This window comes from Homo sapiens, chromosome 12 (genome assembly GCF_000001405.40).
Source record: "Homo sapiens chromosome 12, GRCh38.p14 Primary Assembly".
Taxonomy (NCBI): Eukaryota; Metazoa; Chordata; class Mammalia; order Primates; family Hominidae; genus Homo; species Homo sapiens.
This window is the reverse complement of record NC_000012.12, coordinates 118,329,603-118,351,893: the sequence shown is the minus strand read 5'-3', so window position 1 is coordinate 118,351,893 and position 22,291 is coordinate 118,329,603. Positions and strand designations below refer to the sequence as shown.

The 22,291-nt window shown below is 38.1% G+C and overlaps 1 protein-coding gene across 8 annotated transcripts in view, besides 1 other annotated feature; it reads left to right on the top strand.

Moving 5' to 3' along the window:
* The window catches only part of TAOK3 (TAO kinase 3), a 223,107-nt gene that overhangs the window by 21,014 nt on the left and 179,802 nt on the right, over positions 1-22,291 (top strand). The gene's annotated exons all lie outside the window — the stretch shown is intronic.
* Positions 10,481-10,708: a silencer, noted in NCBI's record as "fragment chr12:118778991-118779218 (GRCh37/hg19 assembly coordinates)". NCBI's record gives its function as "represses an EF-1alpha promoter that drives an FKBP-Casp9 reporter gene in an ReSE screen in K562 erythroleukemia cells {active_cell/tissue: K562}" and the evidence as "EXISTENCE:reporter gene assay evidence [ECO:0000049][PMID:32094911]".

Genomic DNA, 22,291 nt, shown 5'->3' with positions numbered 1-22,291 from the left:
ACTAAAAAAAAAAAAAAAAAAAAAAAAAAGAACTATAGATTAAATATAATCATTTAATTTTACACAACCAAGAAGCATTTTTATCCAATTATTTAAGTAACCTAAGTACAATTAAGTGCCTGCTGTGTTACAAGGTTAGGCTCTGTGAAGGTGTGCCCTGCAAAAACTATTAGGGAATTCCATTAGGCAAGACAAAGTATATATTCAGACGCTTAAAGATAGGAATATTTATTACTTCAATTGGGTGTTATAATCGGTCTCTTATCTTTTTAAATAATATATACTTTCCTTTGTATTGATGCCAAGAAGCTTATAGGACACCTAAATGAAAACTTTTAAAATGCAAAATGTTTTATATATGTAAGAGTATGGATATTTGAAAATGTCTAGTTAATGCTTTGAGTTTGTTTTGATGCTTGGCTATAGATGCAGCCAGTAACACCATACTCTTTGTCCATTTATGTACTCAGTAAACATTTACTGAGCATCTACTCGGGTCAGGCCTTGGACTAGTGCTGAATAGGACTATGTTTCTTCCTTAACTAATAAGGAAACAAACTATTTAGGTACAGCAATGCTACAGAGACCCATGTGATGCTAGAAAAACACATAGGAAGGGCACTGAATCATCCCCTGTTCTAGTTACCTAAATAAGTATACAAACTACTTCTCTATTCCTAGTTATGCCTCAGATTTTTTTTTAATTTATTTTCTTGAGACAGAGTTTTATTCTGTCACCTAGGCTGGAGTGCAGTGCTGTGATCTCAGTTCACTGCAGCCTCCACTTCCCGGGTTCAAGTGATTCTCGTGCCTCAGCCTCCCAAGTAGCTGGGATTACAGGCATGCACCACCACGCCTGGCCAATTTTTGTATTTTTTGTAGAGATGGGGTTTCACCACGTTGGCCAGGGTGGTCTCAAAGTCCTGACCTCAAGTGATCCGCCTGCCTCAGCCTCCCAAAGTGCTGGGATTACAGGCATGAACCACCACACCTGGCCTTTTTTTTTTCTTTTTCTTTTCTTTTTTTTTTTTTTGAGACGGAGTTTTGGTCTTGTTGCCCAGGCTGGAGTACAATGGCACGACCTCAGCTCACTGCAACCTCCACCTCCCAGGTTCAAGCGATTCTCCTGCCTCAGCCTCCCGAGTAGCTGGGATTACAGGTGCCCACCACCATACCCAGCTAATTTTTTGTATTTTTAGTAGAGACAGAGTTTCACCATGTTGGCCAAGCTGGTCTCGAACTCCTGACCTAAGGTGATCCACCTGCCTCAGCCTCCCAAAGTGCTGGGATTACAGGCGTGAGTCACCATGCCTGGCCTCAAATTTGTCTTGTAGCTGAAGACCCGTCATTTAAACTTGTTACTCCATAGGATGGACAACAACAATAACAATTGCTGAATGAGTGCTTGTTAGGTGCTAGGTATTACAATACATGCTTTATATAATGAGTATCTCAACGAACCTCTATAATGGATATTTGTGTAGATTCACATACATATTCTTACATAGACTTTACAGGGGTGTATACTGATGTTCAGAGAGGTTAGGTGGTTTGTTCAAGATCTGTGGCAGAACCTGGACTTAAACTCAGTTCTATGCCTGTGTTTATAACTGTTGGGCCATGTACCCCTCATTGTGAAGATTGGAATTAAATAACTCTGTACTGTTCTATTAGTGCCTACAGGATAAGTGCTACGTGGCCCCAAGATGTCATTCATATATGACAATACAAAAGCTGGTTAGATAACATGGCAACAATAAAAAGTTGTGGACTATTCAGTGAAGTTATGGGCTATTCAATACAGTTTAGGATTTTTAAAAAATCATTTTAGGCATGCAAAATAACTATCAGATTTTATTCATTTGAAATAATAATTTTATGTTATATTGTGAGTCTCACAGTGACTTTGTAAGGCATTATATCCTCACTTTGTAGATGAGGTTATGAAGGCTTAGAGAAGTTCAGCTGCATCCTAAAGACGCCACAGTTAAGTAAGAGAGTTAAGTGACTTGGCTGAAACCTAGATTTGCTGATTGAAAGGTCAGAGCTCTTTTCCTTTATACCACAAATTGAAGCTGTCATTTGGGGCATGAAACTAATAACTGTTTTTTGTGTTTTTTTTAATTTAGATAAAATTTTATGATATAAAACTTACCTTTTTAAATTATGAAATTCAGGTTTTTAGTATATTTGTGATGTTGTTACAATATCTAACCTCACCACTATCTAACTCTAGAACATTTTCATTACACCAAAAAGAATTTTGTACCTGTTAGCAGCCACTCTCAATTATCCCCAACCCCTGGTAAGCACTAATTTACTTTCTGTCTCTATGGATTTGCCTACTCTGGACATTTTGTATAACTGGAACAAGACAATATGTGTCTTTTTGTGTCTGACATCTTCACTTAGCATAATGTTTCAAGATTCATCCACATTGTAGCGTACATCAGTGATGATTCCTTTTTATGGCCAAATAATATTTCATTATATCTGTGTGCCACATTCTGATTATTCAAGAGTTGATGGATATTTTGGCTGCTTCTACTTTTTGGATATTAATAATGTTTCTGTGACAGTAAATATACAAGTTTTTAAATGAACATATTTTTCCATTCTCTTGGGTATATACCTAGAGTGGAATTGCTCATAATTACTTTTTGTAAAATAATTAAAATGAAAATGCTTTGAAATGATTTGAATCAGCCAGCGCGGTGGCTCATGCCTGTAATCCCAGCACTTTGGGAGGCCAAGGTGGGCGGTCACCTGAGGTCAGGAGTTTGAGACCAGCCTGGGCAACATGGTGAAACCCCAACTCTACTAAAAATACAAAAATTAGCTGGGTGTGGTGGTGAGCACCTGTAATCCCAGCTACTCAAGAGCCTGAGGCAAGAGAATTGCTTGAACCGCCTGGGAGGCAGAGGTTGCAGTGGGCCAAGAACGCGCCACTGCACTCCAGCCTGGGCAACAAGAGTGAGACCCGGGCAACAAGAGTGAGACCCGGGCAACAAGAGTGAGACCCGTTCTCAAAAAAAAAAAAAAAAAAAAGAAATTATTTTTTTTCTCCCCCCTCACAAAAACACACATAATATTGTGTATTTAGCTAATTCTTATCCCATATCTTTTCTTCAGAAATAAGGCAGAGGCTGGGCGCAGTGGCTCACGCCTGTAATCCCATCACTTTGGGAGGCTGAGACGGGTGGATCAAGAGGTCAGGAGATCGAGACCATTCTGGCTAACATGGTGAAACCCTGTCTCTACTAAAAATACAAAAAATTAGCCAGGCGTGGTGGCGGGCACCTGTAGTCCGAGCTACTCGGGTAGTTGAGGCAGGAGAATGGCGTGAGCCCGGGAGGCAGAGCTTGCAGTGAGCCAAGATTGTGCCACTGCACTCCAGCCTGGGTGACAGAGCGAGACTCCGTCTCAAAAAAAAAAAAAAGAAAGAAAGAAAGAAATAAGGCAGAAGCAGACTTAGACTTTAGCTCAGAGGCTGGACAAGTAGTCTTTAATTCCAGATGAATAGTCTGTGTTTAACACTGCCTCCTCCATTGAAGGCACTATGGAAAGCGAATAAGAATCCTGATGCAAGTCATATTCAATTAATGGAATTAAGAAAGGTCCATGTCCTTTAAAGGCAAAATAGAATGACATCAAGGTCAGCAAGAAGCTGTCAGGTACTTTCTATACATGAAGAAGGAAGAGATTACTTCCGTACTAGGGAGATGGGGTAACATGGAGATGGAGTTTGAACTGAGTCTTGAATTGTGGATACCTTTTCAGCAGGCGTGGTGGACATAATCAATGTATTTTTTGGCCTACAGACATAGTGAACAAAATGTAGGATATTCAGGGATAGTGGCAAATCAAAAGCCTTAGAGCCACATAACAGGAGGTTTGAACTTTGAACAGTAGATAGTGAGGAACCATTTAAGATATTTGAATAGAAAAGACTGATGCAATCAGAGCCTTTGAAAGATTACTCTATCAATAGTTTGTAGAATGACTTAAAGGAAGAAAGAAATTGAGAATGAGAACTTGGACTAGTAGTGAGGTTCTGGAACTAGGACAGCCTCAATGGAAAAGGAGAAAAGCAGCTTGTGAGAGATTTATTGAGGGCATTAACGGCTTGGCATAGAGAGCTAAAAGAACAGGAGTGAATCAGATAAATGAGAGAAAGTGCAGGGTAGAGAGGGGAAGCTCAGCACAGAATTTTGTGTTAAGAGGTTGAGAGAAGTAGGATAAGCCAGAAGAGGTGGGTTGGAAAGAAACTCCTAGAGGACAGTGCCACACAAACCAAGAAACAACCTTGTAAGGAGATGCGGCATAGAGGTTATGGAAGGATATGACCTGAGAGGACTCCTGTTGGACTTGGAAATGAGGAGGCTGGAGCTAGTGAGTTGCCAGAGCATCTTCCTGTCAGGAAAAGCTCCCCCTCCTCCCCTCAATAAATGATACCTTGAGCATGCTGTAGGCCAAAAGGAGGAGTTGGGAGAGAGGAAGCAACTGCGGATTGAAGAAAAATGAGAGGGGTGCATTAATGAAGTGAGAAGGTAGTAGGATAAAGAATTAAGAGGTCATTTGGACTGGGCCTTGTGGCTCACACCTGTAATCCCAGCACTTGGGGAGGCCTAAGTAGAAGGATTGCCAGAGCCCAGGAGTTCAAGCCTAGCCTGGGCAATAAAGTGAGATCTCATCTCTACAAATGATAATTTTTTTAAAAAAATTAGCTGGGTGTGGTGACACGTGTCTGCGGTCCCAGCTACTCAGGAGGCTGAGGTGGAGGATCACTTGAGCACGGGCAGTCAAGGCTTCAGTGAGCCAGGATCATGATCGTGCCACCGCACTCTAGCCTGGGTGACAGAGCGAGACCTGGTCTAAAAAAAGAAAAAAGGCCTATTGTTGGACAGAAGTGCTTGGCCTGATAAAGGAAAACTGAAGGAGGAAGACGAATGCATATACAGAGAAATTTTTAAATTGAGGAAGCTTACATAATGGCTTCACTGTAAAATTTATACTATTATTGCTTATTAGTAGTACCTACAGATAGAATAGTAACTACAGATAGACAAGTTAGATTTAGAAAATACCTTGCATTATCTCAGGCACATGTAGAAAGATTAAACTTTCCATTCTGTATAAATGTTTCATTCTTTTAGCTATGCATTGAACATATCTTTGCCTATGCTTTTAAATGCATTTGCCTGCCAAAACATAGCTATGTGATGTAATTATATAGACTACCAGTTAGGCCTGTTGAGTCCACATTTCTGCTAATTATTCAAGCTGTGTATTCTGAGTGCTAATAATAGTGGGAACTCAAGTACAGTATTTTGTTTAAAAATTAGTTTATAACCTTCAGTTTGAAATTTTTGTATAAATGTTTTATTCTTTCTAAAAGATGCCCCAAAACAATATTTTGTATTTTCTATAGAATAGAAATTTATTAGTAGTATGTTCTATAGCTTAGCAGGCACACTGTACAATTATTCATTTCATTGAAAGTAATGACAAATATATGTCACTTTGAAATTATAATTTCCCTGTTTTAAGATGTTGCCAAATCAGTTCTTTATCAGTCCTGATGTTGGGAGTTTCCAACTAGAAGACTTATTAGTAAATGAGTAGATGTGGAAGCTAAGCCTCCTTCATTACCCTTAACCCTTTCTCCTCTTCTCAACAAAGTGGTGAGAAGTCCCTGACCTAAGATAGTTCTTTTCATATATTTTTAATAGCTATACAAGTAATACATGTTTTTTGCTTTAATAAATAAAAAATACATGTGAGTAGTTAGAACAAAATAAAATTTATATTCTATACCTAGATATATTTTGACAGCCTTTCAGAATTTTTTTTAGGTAAAGTATTTTTAGGAATAGTAATTAGGACAGTTATAGTACATATATTGTTTTCTATGCTGCTTTATTTCTTTTACTTTAACAGTATATCATTACCGTATCAATATTCATCTGTCTCTAAATATAACTTCCACTTCATTTTCAAGCCTGCATGCATTGTTGCATGGATTTTTCAAAGTGGATTTTTTTTCTTAGTCTTTATTCTTACAAAGTGTTCTAAGTCGCTCCTTAATCAATATCTCTGTCCCCAATACAACTCTTGGTTTCTTTCCAGTTATAAGGAGATTCTACATCAGGTAGACCATAAGAACTTGGTTTCCAGGAGCATGAGTTCATTTTTTTTTTTCAAGCAGGATGGGTGAGCAGCATTATTACATTGTATGTCCTGACAAAGGCACTCATGGCTTGAAAACTGTCTGTTTTTTTCTCCACCCACCAGAACATAAGCTAGTGTCTGACATTTCTTTTGAGCAGCCAGGGCTTGAAAGCATGCACTTATCTTCCCAAACACATGGCTTTTTCCTTGGTCTTCATCTGCTCTACAGGAGCTCCTGCTACAAGTCTTCTCTTAGACTATCACCAGCCTTCCTTCCTCTTCTATTCCTGCCTGTTCAGGATTTGTTTATTTTGTTCGTTTTGCATTCAAACTTCTTGGTTATGAACCCTTTTGAGATCATCCTTAAGAAAGGAGAAATGTTGAATTTGTCCAAAGTAACCGGTTATTACAGGCATTTAATTAATGAATATTTCTTGTCCATTTTGAAGACTATATTTCAGCCTCCTTAATTTAATCTATTCTACTTTGTATCATTTTTTAAGTTTCTATCATGATTGGCCTTAAAAAATAGACATTTCATTCCCATCTTAGTAAAAGTCTTACTTCAAATTTATGTCACTACACTAAATATAAATACAATTTTAGTGGAAGCTGCTTCCAGAAAGTGGATATGGTTCAGTAAGATTGGTTTTTTAACACTTTGCTTAATAAGTAAGTGATTCAGTAGACTAACCTCATGAAATTTGCTAGTGATCCTTTAACTGGCTAACACCTTGGAAAAACAGATTAAGGTTCTAATTAGCATTGACAAGGTGAAGAGGGGCATGGGTATTAACAAGAGGAAGTTAACCAAAGACATGCTGGGTGATTCAATAAAGGACTAAAGAAATAAAGTGTAAATATAACAGGGGGCACCATACTTTGAAAAAGCATGAGAAAAATAAAAATAAATGTTATTAATTATCAGAAAATAAAGTACTATTATTTTTAAAGCCATAACACTGTTAATAGTATTTTTAACAGTGATATTATTAATTGGTCATGATTTATTTTGCAGTTAAGAGGAAGCCTTATTTATTTATTTTTTTTACTTCTGCAAAATTTTTCCCATTCGTTTCAAATATGAATTGAGACAGTGGAGAGAGAGGCAAATGCAAGTGTTAAAAAACAGGACTGTGAAATCAAAAAGTTCCAATTGCCATGTATTTTTTGCGTTATTGAATATGCTGTAAAGTGGTATTGTTGATACCACATTTCTTAGGTGGGATTTCCATCATTCTCAAAATATGAATAGGTATTGTTGATGTGAACACTGCTTCTCCCCTGTGAGCCAGGCAAGATGAATGGATGTGTTACAATGTGGTCATCTGTTTTGTATATTAACAGAGATTTACACCTGCACTTTTGTATAGTAACTGAACAAATCAACTCTGTAATTGCCTTACCTGAATCAGGTGGAATGTATTTACTATGACACATGCTTTTGTCTTGTTTTAAAATAATCAAGAGCTTGAATCTTTGTATTTTGGTAAATCAGGAAAAAAAATTCAGACTGCATACAAGATAAAGGACTCAATACATTAGGGGCTCTGGGAGAAAATGAATGAAGTCAATCTAAACAATAAAAGAAACAGCATTGAAGTCAGACCATTGCCAATGTTCTAAATTTGTAAAATCCACACAGGGTTTTGTTTCTTTTCTTAATCTTGTAGAGCTTGGAACAAATAAATTCTAGTGGATTTTTTTTTTTTTTAGACAGTCTCGCTCTGTCCCCCAGGCTGGAGTGCAGTGGCACCATCTCAGCTCACTGCAAGCTCCACCTCCTAGGTTCATGCCATTCTCCTGCCTCAGCCTCCTGAGTAGCTGGGACTACAGGCATCTGCCACCATGCCCGGCTAATTTTTTGTATTTTTAGTAGAGACAGGGTTTCACCATGTTAGCCAGGATGGTCTCGATCTCCTGACCTCGTGATCCACCTGCCTCGGCCTCCCAAAGTGCTGGGATTACAGGTGTGAGCCACCGCGCCCAGCCTCTAGTGGATTTTTTATAAGACTCATAGAGTTAACAAAAATTAAATCTCAAAAATTCTCATATTTAAATTGCTGACTTTAAATACTTCCTTTAAACTAAATGTATTAATGATTTAATTTGGTATCATTCTGATACTTTATTCTGCAGTTTGCAGGTGCACCCCATACAGTTCCCTGCACATATCAAATGCTCAACTAGTATCTTAAATTGTTTTACTGGGCATTCTGATTCCTAGGTTTAATGTAAAGGGTCACTTACATAGAGTGCACTGAGACTCATGAATTTCTTTTTTTTTTTTTTTTTTGAGACAGGGACTCACTCTGTCGCCTAGGCTGGAGTGCAATGGCACAATCTGAGCTCACTGTAACCTCCGCCTTCTGGGTTCAAGCGATTCTCCCACCCCACCCTCCTGAGTAGCTAGGATTACAGGCACCCGCCATCATGCCTGGCTAATTTTTGTATTTTTGTAGAGACAGGGTTTCACCATGTTGGCCAGGCTGGTCTTGAACTCCTGACCTCTGGTGATCTGCCCATCTCAGCCTCCCAAAGTGCTGGGATTGCAGGCATGAGCCACCGCACCTGGCCACGAATTTCTATTAAAAATTTATGTTTTGATTAATAAATTTACTCCACAATGAAATGCTATCTAGAATTTGCCAATAGATGTAGCAGGAACCACTGATAGTTTTTTTTTTTAAGCCTAAGAAACAGTATCTGAAGTTGATATGCAAATATTGCAAGACTTCTTCATTTCTCTCTCTCTCTCTCTCTCTTTTTTTTTTTTTTTTTTTTTTTAGCAGACAGAGGCTTACTCTGTGGCCCAGGCTGGAGTGCAATGGCAGGATCGCCACTCACTGTAACCTTGGCCTCCCAGATGCAAGTGATCCTCCTGCCTCAGCCTCCCCAGTACCTGGGACTACAGGCACCTGCTACCTTGCCTGGCTAATTTTTGTATTTTTTGTAAAGACAGGGTTTCTCCATGTTGCCCTGGCTGGTCTCGAACTCCTGAGCTCAAGCAATCTGCTTGCCTCAGCCGGGAAAATTGCTGGGATTTCAGGTGTGAGCTGTAGAGCCCAGATGACTTTTTAATTTCTAACTGGGGTTTCAAATGTCCCAAAACAGAGTACAATGAGATATTTTATACTGCATGTTTTATTTATTGATAGTACACAATTTTATATTATCTTGTCATGGCATAGTAAAAAGTCTGGCTTTAACTATGTTGATTTCTGCATGCTTCTGTGGATGACACGTTTCTAACCTTTATTGTTTCAAATTTTAAATGAAATGTACTATTTTATTACTTGTATAACAAGGTATTTTCAACATGTCAAAGGAAATATTAGCTTTACCAACCTTTATGAAAGGATCAAAGTCAAGGCTATTTCATGTTGTGCTAATAAAACTTTTCCTGATCATACTTACATAGTAGTATCTGTTAACAAATTAGAACACAGCCTGTAGCTGTGAGCAGATTGCTTCCTCGTGGTAGCTTTCTCACTGGAAACACCAATAATGTAGTAATACCAAAGCTGCCTACTCTGAGGTGAGGAAGCCACATAATTGCTCCCAACTCTGAAATCCTGTGATTTCAAGTTAATTTCAAATGAAGGAGAAAGTATTTGGTCAAAGTAAAATAGTGAAAATGTTAAAAAAAAAATGAGAGATCACAGAAGGTTTTAATTTTTTGGTTTGTTTTTTGTTTTTTGAGACAGAGTCTCACTCTGTTGTCCAGGCAGTAGTGCAGTGGTACAATCATAGCTCACTGCAACCTTGACCTCCTGGGCTCAAGCCATCCTCCTGCCTCAGCCTCCCAAGTAGCTGGAACTACAAGGTGTGCCACCACACCTGGTTAATTTTTTAATTTTTTGTAGACATTAGATTTCACTATATTGCCCAGGCTGCTCTCCAACTCCAGGGCTCAGGCAGTCCACCTGCCTAGGCCTCCCAAAGTGCTGGGATTATTACAGGCATTAGCCACCACACCTAGCCAACACAGAAGGGTTTTTTTAGCATGGTTTAGTGGAATTCCTTGATAAAAATAATATTAAAACTTGTGAATGAAGGAAGTGTTTTGATAAAAGGCAAAAATGAAGTCAACCCTCCCCTCCTTTTCTCCTAAGTACTTAACTTGATCATGTGTCCATACATTTGTAGTACACATAGTCAACGTTGCCCTGCTAGGGCAACTTAATCTGGTTTTTATATTAGATTTAATTATTTATTAAAACTTCTAAGTTTAATTTTTAAAATGCATTGCATTATTGCCATTAAAACAAAATTTGGACAGATGGACCTAATTTGGACTCATATAGAAAAAAATGGAATAAAAGAAATTTATGGGACCATTTAGGAGATTTGAAAATTTGACCTTGTATTTTATGGCATTAAAAAATTATCGTTAAATTTTTAGGTTAAAAAAAAAAATTTAGGCTGGTGCTGTGGCTCACTCCTGTAATCCCAGCACTTTGGGAAGCCGAGGCAGGCGGATCACTTGAGGTCAGATGTTTGAAACCAGTCTAGCCAACATGGCGAAACCCTGTCTCTACTAAAAATACAAAAAATTAGCCAGGCATGGCGGCAGGTGCCTGTACTCCCAGCTACTCAGGAGGCTGAGGACGAACAAGAATACCTTGAACCTGGGGCAGGGCAGCAGAGGTTGCAGTCAGCTGAGATGGCGCCACTGCACTCCAGCCTGGGCAACAGAGTGAGACTCTGTCTCAAAAAAAAAAAAAAAATTAGATATATTAATGGTAGAGTTAATGTTTTTTGTTTCTTTTTGTTCTTTTGAGACAGGGTCTCACTTGCTGCCCAGGCTGTCGTGCAGTGGTGTAATCGTGGCTCACTGCAGCCTTGACTACCTGTGCTCAAGCAGTCCTCCTTCCTTGGCCTCCCAAAGCACTGGGAGTACAGGCATGAGCCACCATGTGCGGCCAATGTTTTTTTTTTTTTTTATGGTTCTTATCTTTTAGACATACATTCTGAATATTTATAGATGAAATGATTTATTTAGGATTTGTTTCAAAATAACGGAGTGCTGTGGGAAGTACGTGGGCCATGAATTGATAACTGTTAAAGCTGGGTATGAGGCAGTTTATTATATTCTTCTGTTACTTTTTTATTTAACATTTTCTATAATTAGAAAGTCCAAAAAATAATATTTAATAACCATCTATGAGGTTTATAAAAATGATTTAGATGTCTTTATTCCTTGTAAAATGACATAAAAGCATTACCTACAATAAATTCCACCCCATTTTCTTTTCATAAAAAATTTTTCTTCTCATAATCCATATTCCTTATTCTCTGCTGTGAGAAAAGAGCTCTTAAAATTGTCACATGATGTCAAAAGAAAACAAGGGGGAGAAGGAGTCACTTTACTGTGCCTACAATGAATTTTATATAACACCTTTACTTTTCTTCCCTTTCCAACCTGATTAAAAATTTTTTTGCTCTTGGGAGGGAAGGTGGGGTGTCCACAGGCAAGTTATTGTTACATTATAGTTAACATTCAACTGTATCTGCATCTTATCACAAACAAATACATGTATATATACACAGAAATATGTGGAAAGTACTTAGTCACTCTCCATATTTCAGGCATATGGTTTATTCTCTCCAGAGATCAATATCTTAGTTACTGAAGCTGTATCTAATTTTTTGCTAAAATAGTTATTTTGTGTTTTAAGAGAAATAAGTGTAATTCCTCAGTAGCAGGAATGGTATGTGGAAGTGATCGTTTTTTGGTGGTTAAGATATTAATAATTTGACAACATGCAAGATTTTGTGAAATATGAATAGTAGTTTATTATTTCAAACTTTTAAAAGTTGGGAAAAGAGGAATTTCAAATTAAAATCTATAAAGTATTGGAAGAATCTATAGAAAAGAGCAACTAAAGCCGGGCGCGGTGGCTCACTTCTGTAATCCCAGCGCTTTGGGAAGCCGAGGCGGGACTATCCTGGCCAACATGGTGAAACCCCGTCTCTACTAAAAATACAAAAATTAGCTGGGCATGGTGGCGCGCCTGTAGTCCCAGCTACTCGGGAGGCTGAGGCAGAATCGCTTGAACCCGGGAGGTGGAGGTTGCAGTGAGCCGAGATCGCACCACTGCATTCCAGCCTGGGCGACAGAGTAAGACCCCGTCTCGAAAAAAAAAAAGAGCAACTAAAATGCTTAATAAATATCTCTCTTTCAAAGCCCTCTGATATGATTCATTACACAGATTTAAAGATAACAATGTTATAAACCGTTCAGGAGAGTAGTTTTGAAGACTTAACTTCCATTAACGCAGTGTATTTGAGAATTGAGTTTTCCGGAAAATTGAGGCTGAGGCAGGAGAATCGCCTGAACGCTGGAGGCGGAGGTTGCGGTGAGCCGAGATCGCGCCATTGCACTCCAGCCTGGGCAACAAGAGCGAAACTCCATCTCAAAAAAAAAAAAAAAAAAAAAAAAAAGTATGATGAAGAACGGAGAATTTTCATTTACTTCCAACTCTTGTGTTGGTTTCTCAGCTTGTCTCTTCTCCCTGCTGTGAATCCTATCACTGCCTTTAGAGTTAACTTAATAAGTGACAAATCTGATTATCATTCACTGGCTTCAAAACTCTAGTGTCACCACGTTGTTCATGTGAAAGTCCAAATCTCTTTCCTGTAGCATCCACAGTTCTAGCTTCATCCTTTGCCTCTCTCAGTAAAGAACTATAAACTCAAGCAGCACACCACACTCTTTGCTGGTCCCAGGGTACGCAATGCTTTTCTTATCACATTGTGCATTTGAATGTTCTATTCTCTTTGCTTGGAGTGGTTTTTCTCCACTTCCCATCTCCTATCTTGTAAGACACAACTAAAAGATCACATCTTTAAAGCCTCCCCAGTTCCCTCAGACAGGGCTAGTTATTCATTTGCTCCGTTTTCTCTTTTTTTTTTTTTTTTTTTTTTTTTTTTGAGACGGAGTCTCACTCTGTCGACCACACTGCAGTGCAGTGGCACGATCTTGGCTCACTGCAACCTCTGCCTCCCAGGTTCAAGTGATTCTCCTGCCTCAGCCTCCTGAGTAGCTGGGACTACAGGCGCGTGGCCACCACGCCTGGCTAATTTTTGTATTTTTAGTAGAGACAGGGTTTCACCACATTGGCCAGGCTGGTCTCGAGCTCCTGACCTTGTGATCCGCCCACCTCGGCCTCCCAAAGTGCTGGGATTACAGGCCTGAGCCACCAAGCCCAGCCCACTTCCTCTGTTTTCATAAACACCTTTTGTACTGTATTGTAACCATTTGGTGGTAATCATCCCTTCTATTGATTGATTGATGCAATCATTCATTCATTTGGAGGTATTAATCTAAAAGGTACTATGTTCCAGACACTGTTTGGTACTGGAAATAGAGTTATTAAAACAGTCGCTGTCTCTTCCCTCTGTTAGTGAAGGACACATATGTTAAAGAATCACAAAAACATCCATATAATCACAATTGTGACATCTGTGAAGGTGGGGTCTCTGTTCAGTATCTCTCTGTATATTGCCCACCTTCCATCTTCCCACCCGCATCCCACCAGCACATAAGCTAATGCTTCACACAAAAGAGCAACTCAATAAATGCTTAAAGAAGTGAATGATGAATATATAACTGTACATGAGCTACATGGATTTCTTTTAAACTTTTTATTTTGAAATAATTGTAGATTTACACGCACTTGTAAGAAATAATACTGAGAGGTCGGGTGTACCCTTTATCTAATTTCCCTTAACAATAAGATCATACAAATCTATAAGATGGTATCACAGCCAGAATATTGATATTGATACAGTTCCCCATCCTTGTTCAGATTTCCTCAGTTTTACATGTGTGTATATTTAGGTCTATGAAATTTTCCCATGTCGGTTTATATATCCACCACAATGGTCAAGATTGAAGAAGTGTTATCATGAGGCTACATTATCACAGCTACTTCCCTCCCATCCCCCTTCCACCACCCTCTATCCAAAATCCCTGGCAACCACTAATCTGTTCTTCATGTCTATAATTTTGTCATTTCAAGAATGTTATACAAATGAAATCATTCAGTATGTAACCTTTGTGGATTTTTTTCCCACCCAGTGTAATTCTCTGACGATTTAACTGAGTTGTGTGTCAATAGTTAATACCTTTTTGTTGTTGAGTAATTTTCCATGGTATGGATGTATTATAGTTTGTTTAATCCTTTATCCATTAAAGAATATCTGGGTTGTTTCCAGCGTTTGGCGATTAGGAATAAAGCTGCTGTGAACATTCTCGTACAAGTTTTTATGTAAACATAATTCTCCATTTCCCTGGGACAAATGCCCAGGAATGCAACTGCTGCGTTGTATGGTAATTATGTGTTTGGTTTTATAAGAAACTGTCACACTATTTTCCAGAGTGGCTGTACCATTCTACATGTAAGAGAGTAGTTGGGCACTGAAAAATCCAGTTTCTCCATATCCTCACCAGCATTTGGTGTTGTCATTATTTTTTATTTTAATCATTCTGATAGGTAAGTAGTAATATTTTCTCGTGGCTTTAATTTACATTTCCCTAATAGTTAACAAAATTGAACATCTTTTCATATGTTTATTTGCCATTTCCATTTGTAAATCCTCTTTAGTGAAATTCCTGTTTTATGTCTTTTGCCCATTTTCTTTTTTCTTTATTTTTTGAGACAGAGTCTCCTTCTGTTGCCCAGGCTGGAGTGCAGTGGTGCAATCTTAGCTCACTGCAACCTCTGCCTCCCAGGTTGAAGCGATTCTCATGCCTCCGCCTCCCCAGTAGTTGTGATTACAGGTGGGCAGCTAATTTGTATATCTTTAGTAGAGACAGGGTTTCGCCATGTTGGCCAGGCTGGTCATGAACTCCTGGCCTCAAGTGATCCTCCTGCGTCGGCTTCCCAAAGTGCTGGTATTATAGGTGTGAGCCACTGCCCCCAGCCTCTTTGCCCTTTTTGTAATTGGAGTTTTTTTTGCTGTAATTTACTGTTGGGTTTTGAGTTTTTGATATTTTTTACATACTAGTCCTTTGTCAGATATGTGGTTTGCAAATACTTTCTGTCTGTAGCTTGCATTTTCATCTTTTTAATGGGTCTTTTGCAGAGCAGTGGTTTTAAATTTTGATTAGGTACAATTTATTGATTTTTTTTTCTTTCCCTGAGTCATGCTTTTGGTGTCTCAGAATTCTTTGCCTATTCCTAGATCCCCCAAATTTTCTCCTATACTTTTTTCCTAAATATTTTATAGTTTTATGTTTACATTTAAATCTGTAATTGATTTTGAGTTAATTTTTGTATAAGATAAGAGGTTTAGGTCATGGTTTATTTTTTTGCCTATGTTCATCCCATTCCTCCAGCACCATTTGTTGAAAAGGAATTTTTTCTCCGTTGAATCACTTTGTAAATAATCACCTTTGTAAATAAATCAGATGGACATATCCGTGTATGTCTATTTCTGGGTTCTTTCTTTATTCTGTTCAGTAGACCTATATTTTTATCTCTCTACCAGCACAAACTGCCTTGATTACTGTAGCTACATAGGAAGACTTAATATTGAGTAAAGTGATTCCTCATATTCTTCCTTTTCAAGATTGTTTAGTCATTCTAGCTCTTTTGCCTGTCCATGTAAACGTCAGATTTAGCTTGCCTATGTCTACGAAAATCCGTGCTGGGATTTTGATAGGAATTGTATTAAAACTATATACAATTTGGGGATAATTGACGTCTTTTCTATGTTGAGTCTTTCAATCTGTGAATATGGTATGTCTCTTCATTTACTTAGATTTCTTTAATCAACATTTTGGAATTGTCACCATGAATATTTATAGACATGTTTTTAAAGTTTATATCTAAGCATTTTATTTTGCTTAAAGTAATTATAAGTGATAGTTTTTGTTTTATTTTTGAGATAAAGTCTCACTCTGTCGCCCAGACTGGAGTGCAGTGGCACCATCTCCACTCACTGCAGCCTCTGCCTCCTGGGTCCAAGCAATTCTTCCTCAGCCTCCCAAGTAGCTAGGATTACAGGTGCCCACCACCACGCCCGGGTAATTTTTTGTATTTTTAGTAGACACAGGGTTTCACCATGTTGACCAGACTAGTCTTGAACTCCTGACCTCAAGTTGATCCACCCAGCTCGGCCTTCCAAAGTGCTGGGATTACAGGCGTGAGACACCATGCCTGGCTGTGTTAATTCTTCTTTAATATTTGGTAAAAATTTTCAAGGAAGCCAGCTGGGCTTGGGAAATTCTTTTCCAGGAGGCTTTTCATTACAAAGGCAATGTCTTTCATGGTTAAAGAACTACTCAAGATATCAGTTTGTGGTTTTAGAGAAATTGAGAAATCGGTCAATTTCTTCTAAGTTGTCAAATTTGTGAGCATAAAGTTGTTCATAGTATTCCCCTACTATCCTTTTAATAGCTTCAAGATCTGTATTACCTCCTGTCTCACTTCTGATATTAGTGATTTATCTCTTCTTTTTTTATGTTATTGTGGTAAGAACATTTAACATGTGATTTACTCTTGAAACAGATTTTTTTTTTTTTTTTTGAGACATAGTTTTGCTCTTGTTGCCCAGGCTGAAGTGGGATGGCGCAACCTTGGCTCACTGAAACCTCCACCTCCCAGGTTCAAGTGATTCTCCTGCCTCAGCCTGCCAAGTAGCGGGATTACAGGCATATACCACCACACCATGCCTGGCTACTTTTTTGTATTTTTAGTAGAGTTGGGGTTTCACCATGTTGGCCAGGCTGGTCTCAAACTCCCGACCTCAGGTGATCCACCCATCTCAGCCTCCCAAAGTGCTGGGATTACAGGCATGAGCCACTAAGCCCGGCCTTTTTTTTTTTTTGGAGACGGAGTCTTGCTCTGTCACCCAAGCCCCAAGCTGGAGTGCAAGGGCACAATCTCTGCTCACCACAACCTCTGCCTCCTGGGTTCAAGTGATTCTCCCGCCTCAGCCTCCCTAATAGCTGGGATTACAGGCTCGTGCCACCACGCCCAGCTAATTTTTTGTATGTTTAGTAGAGACGAGAGTTTCACCATGTTGGCCAGGCTGGTCTCAAACTTCTGACCTCATGATCTGCCCACCTCAGCCTCCCAAAGTGCTGGGATTGCAGGTGTGAGCCACCACACCCGGCCTCCGAAACAAATTTTTCAGTATCCAATACAGTATTGTTATCTATAGGTACAGTGTTGTACAGCAAATCTCTAGAACTTACTCATATTACAAAGCTGAAATTTTATACTGGTTGATTAGCAACTCCCCATTTCTCCCTAGCCCTCGGCCCTGGCAACCTTTGCTTCTATGAGTTAGATTATTTTAGATAGCTTATATAAGTTGAGTCATGATATTTATCCTTGTGTGACCCACTTATTTCACTTAGTATAATGCTCTCAAAGTTCATCATGTCACATATTGCAAGATTTCCTTTTTTAAAGTTGGATAATATTTCATTGTATACTACATATATATACCACAATTTTAAAAAAGTATTTGTTCATCCATTGATGGACATTAGATTAATTTCACATCTTGGCAATGCTAGTATCCCTTCAATATCATTATTTCTTTTTTCTTTTTTTTTTTTTTTTTTTGGAGATGGGAGTTTTGCTCTTTTTGCTCAGGCTGGAGTGCAATGGTGCAATCTCGGCTCACTGCAACCTCTGCCTTCTGGGTTCAAGCGATTCTCCTGCCTCAGCCTCCTGAGTAGCTGGGATTACAGGCATGCACCACCACGCCTGGCTAATTTTGTATTTTTAGTAGAGATGGGGTTTCTCCATGTTGGTCAGGCTGGTCTCGAACTCCTGACCTCAGGTGGTCTGCCCGCCTCGGCCTCCCAAAGTGCTGGGATTACAGGCGTGAGCCTCCACACCCAGCCTCAATTTTTTTTTTTTTTTATAAAATACCCAGAACTGGACTGCTGAATCGTATGGTAGTTCTATTTTTAATTTTTTGAGGAAAAAAAATTACCTTTGTCCTTATTTTTGTCAGTCTTGCTGCAGGTTTACAAATTTTATTGATTTTTTTTTCAAATAACTAGTTTTGATTTCATTGATTTTTCTCATGTTTTCTCCTGTTTTCAATTTAATAGATTTCTGTTCTTTATTTTTTCTTTCTTTCTGCTTACTTTGGGTTATGTTGCTCTTCCTGTTCTAGGATTCTTATGGTAGAAACTTAGGTTATTAATCTGAGGCCATTTCTCTCTCCTAATGTAAGCATTTAATAGTATGCATTTCCCTCTTGGCATTGCTTTAGTTGCATTGCACAAATTTTGATATGCTGTATTTTCACTTCCATTCAGATCTATGCATCGTTCTTATTTCCTTTGAAACTTCTTTTTTAACTCATGCATTGTTTAGAAATGTGTTAATTTCCAAATGTTTGAAGACTTTCCTGTTGTCTTTCTGTTAATGATTTCTAGTTTGATTTCATTATGATCAGAAGACATATTCAGTATGATTTTTAGTTGTTTTAGATTTGTTGGAGTTACTTTTCTGACCCAGAATCTGCTTTATTTTGGTGAATATTCCATGGCACTTGAGAAGAATGTATATTCTACTGTTGTTGGAAGGAGTGTTTATTAAATATCAGTTAGATCCTGTTGGTTGATAGCACTGTTCAATTCTTTTGTCTTTGTTAATTTTCTGTCTAGTAATTCTATCAATTGCTGAGAGTGGAGTGTTCAAGCCCCCAAGCATAACTATAGATTTGTCTATTTTCTCTTTTAGCTCTATCTGTGTGTGTGTGTGTGTGTGTTGAAACTGTTGTTTGGTGCATGTACATTTAAAATTACTATGTCACCTTGGTAGATTCGTTCTTTTATCACTATGTGATGTCTCTTTTTCTTGCTGGTAATTTTCTTTTCTCTGAAGTCCACTTTATCTGATATTAATATAGCTACTCGAGTATCTATATTTTTAAGAGATAAGGTCTCACATGATTTCAAATGGTTAATTTAAATAAAGGAACTGCTTTAAGTTGATTATGTGATCTACTTCTACACCACCAACCCACACCATTGCGTAAGAGACTGTTTATGGAAAATTATGTCATCCCGCAGTCGGGAATGGCTAATTGACTTAATGAACAGCAGGACAGTAACATGGCTTCTTTCTGTGTATCCTAAGGAAAGAATGCAGCAAAATAAAGATTTAATCTTCTTTATTTATTTTTATCTAGCTATAGCCTCATAATAAAAAAGAAGTACAAGATATAGGTGCCATGGAGATGTCCATTGGCCTGCAAAAATAAGAAAAAGATTTCTGTAGTTGTACTTTTAGAAAACAGTGAATTCTTTAAAAAAATAAAAGACTGAGAAAAGAGAGAAGCTTCAGGATAGGCTTATTAATGAAAAACAAAAGTGGAACAAGAGTATCTGAGAAAAGATAGCTTTATATTTAAGTACAAAAAAATAATGTAATGGAAACTGAAGGCTGGAAAGTGGATGTGGGTGGGGGTTGGGGGAAGGGTGGAGGTGGATAAGGAGAAGAAAATACATAAAGACTATCTGTCTTTCTTAAGAAAGAAACAATTAGTATAAACTCTAGAAATACTTCCTAATTTTCTGTCCTATTCATAGGTATCATAGGTGTTAAAAACAAATTTATATCTGGGCGTGGTGGCTCACACCTGTAATCCCAGCACTGTGGGAGGCCAAGGTGGAAGGATCACCTGAGGTCAGGCGGTCGAGACCAACCTCGCCAATATGGCGAAACCCCTCCTTTACTAAAAACAAAAATTAGTAGGGCATGGTGATGCACACGTGTAATCCCAGCTACTCAGGGGACTGAGGCAGGAGAATTGCTTGAACCCAGGAGGCGGAGGTTGCAGTGAGCTGAGATCGTGCCATTGCACTCGAGCCTGGGTGACAGAGCAAGACTCCATCTCAAAAAAAAAAAAAAAAATTCATGTATTTGTAATGTGATAATCATACTTTACCTTCATAGGTTTCAAAATGCTTTTATTTATTAATACTAATAATATATTTATAGCAATTTATAAAGCACTTTTACATGCATTTTTAAATTTCATCCTTAAGACTACTGTAAAGTCAGATATTATTCTTTTTTTTTTTTTTTTTTTTTTTGAGATAAGAGTCTCGTTCTGTTGCCCAGGCTGGAGTGCAGTGGTATGTTCTTGGATCACTGCAACCTCCACCTCCCCAGTTCAAATGATTCTTCTGCCTCAGCCCCCCAAGTAGCTGGGATTACAGGCATGTGCCACCATGCCCGGCTAATTTTTGTATTTTTAGTAGAAACTGGGTTTCATCATGTTGGCCAGGCTGGTCTCGAACTTCTGGCCTCAAGCGATCCACCTACCTCGGCCTCCCAAAGTGCTGGGATTACAGGTGCGAGCCACCATGCCTAGCCATTATTCTCATTTTAGAGTAAGCAGTGGGCCCAAAGTCACAGGGTTGGCAAATGGTGCAGCTGGGGGCAGAACCTGGCTCCTTACTTCTTAATTCAGCCTGGTGTTAGCATTTTCTGGGACTCCATGCTGTATGCCTCTTACATTCATTCCCTCTCTAAGTCAATTCAGTAATCAAAGGTTAAGTATTACAGACCTTGTTCTAGAGGAAATGGAATTGAATTCCAAATTACATTTATTTTCTCTAGTAATTAGTCACTGTTTAAAAATACTAATCATATGTAGTATATGTTGTTCTAGAATTTCTGCCTTCTAATATAAAACGAGACTGCAGACCTGTGTATGCCATAATCTAGAGTTTTGTGTTACTTGTTTTTCTTTTGGTAGGTGGCAGTTGGGCATAGATGAGATAAATTCCATATTCTTGTTCTTCATACCAAAGGAAACAGATGTCCCACATTTTCACACAGTTTATGGCAGTTTCAGACTTATGAACCTCATAAAGATAAATGGGTACTGTCAAACCAAAGGATCATCGTTCACTGAGATTGCCTTTTTAACCTTCTGCCCCTTTCTGGCTCTTTCTACCTTTTTTTTTTTTTGTCCTCCTCTTTCTTCTTTCCTTCTTTCTTTTTCTTTTCCCTTTCCTCTTTACCTCTTTTTTTGAATTTTTTTTTCTTGGTTTCTTTTTCTTCTCGTTTTTTATCAATCAACACATTTAAAGTTTTATTAGCAGCTATCTTCTTTTGTAACCTAAAGGAGCTGCCATTCAGTATACTTCCTCTTTGTGATAGTTTCCTCTTTGCCCAACTATCAACTGCAGCCAGACACGCACATACACTTACACCATATCTTAACCATCTGGAGAGTGCCTGAGGCCTGAGTTATGATAATGTAGTTTGGGTCAGGAATCTGAACACTATCTAAAAATATACAAAGCTGCTCTGGCATATTTTAAAACTCGCTTAGAAATGGGACTTTTGTTTCTACCACCAATAGATATATTTATATTGGCATATATAAAAACACAACTATTGTTACAGACAAAAGACGTAAAGACCTATCAGACCTCACTGTTCTAATATAACTTAAGCAAACAACTTTGAAACAATTTTATTTATAGACTTGAATGTAATCTTAACTTTTATTTTCTCATCTGTCACTTTGACTTTTTATAGTGAGGGTTCTATTTTGTTTCTCATCCTCACATCTCTAGATATAAATAAATTGTGAAAAAAGAAGACAGGAAATGAGAGTTCAGATTTTAGGACTTCTGTCATTATTTTCTAGAAAGCATGCATCATTGAACCCCTGATGTATTTTTCCTCCAAAATATTGAAGATATCCACATATTTTTGGGGTTGTTGTTGATACAGAGTTCTGACTGAATGGAAAGATTGATGGTATATTATCATTCTCTTGTCATTATTTTTGAAACTTAAAAGGCAAATAACCAATGCTCTACCTTATGTTTTTGGTTATACCAGAGTTTCATTTCTGAGTCCTGGCGGAAGTGGCTATATACAAATCTTTATGCAAATCTTAAGTTTTTACCACTATTATATCAGAAGTTATCATGGATCTATATATGAAATAATCAGAATTAAGGGAGTATTTGTGTTCCATGTCCCTTGTTTTTATTTAGCTTTGCAGTAGTTAATTGAATGTTACTTTCCATTTTAAGAAGAGGGCACAGAGAATGACCTTCCTAGAAAAAACCAAAGTCATAGAATATAACAAGCTTTATATTTTGATATAAAAA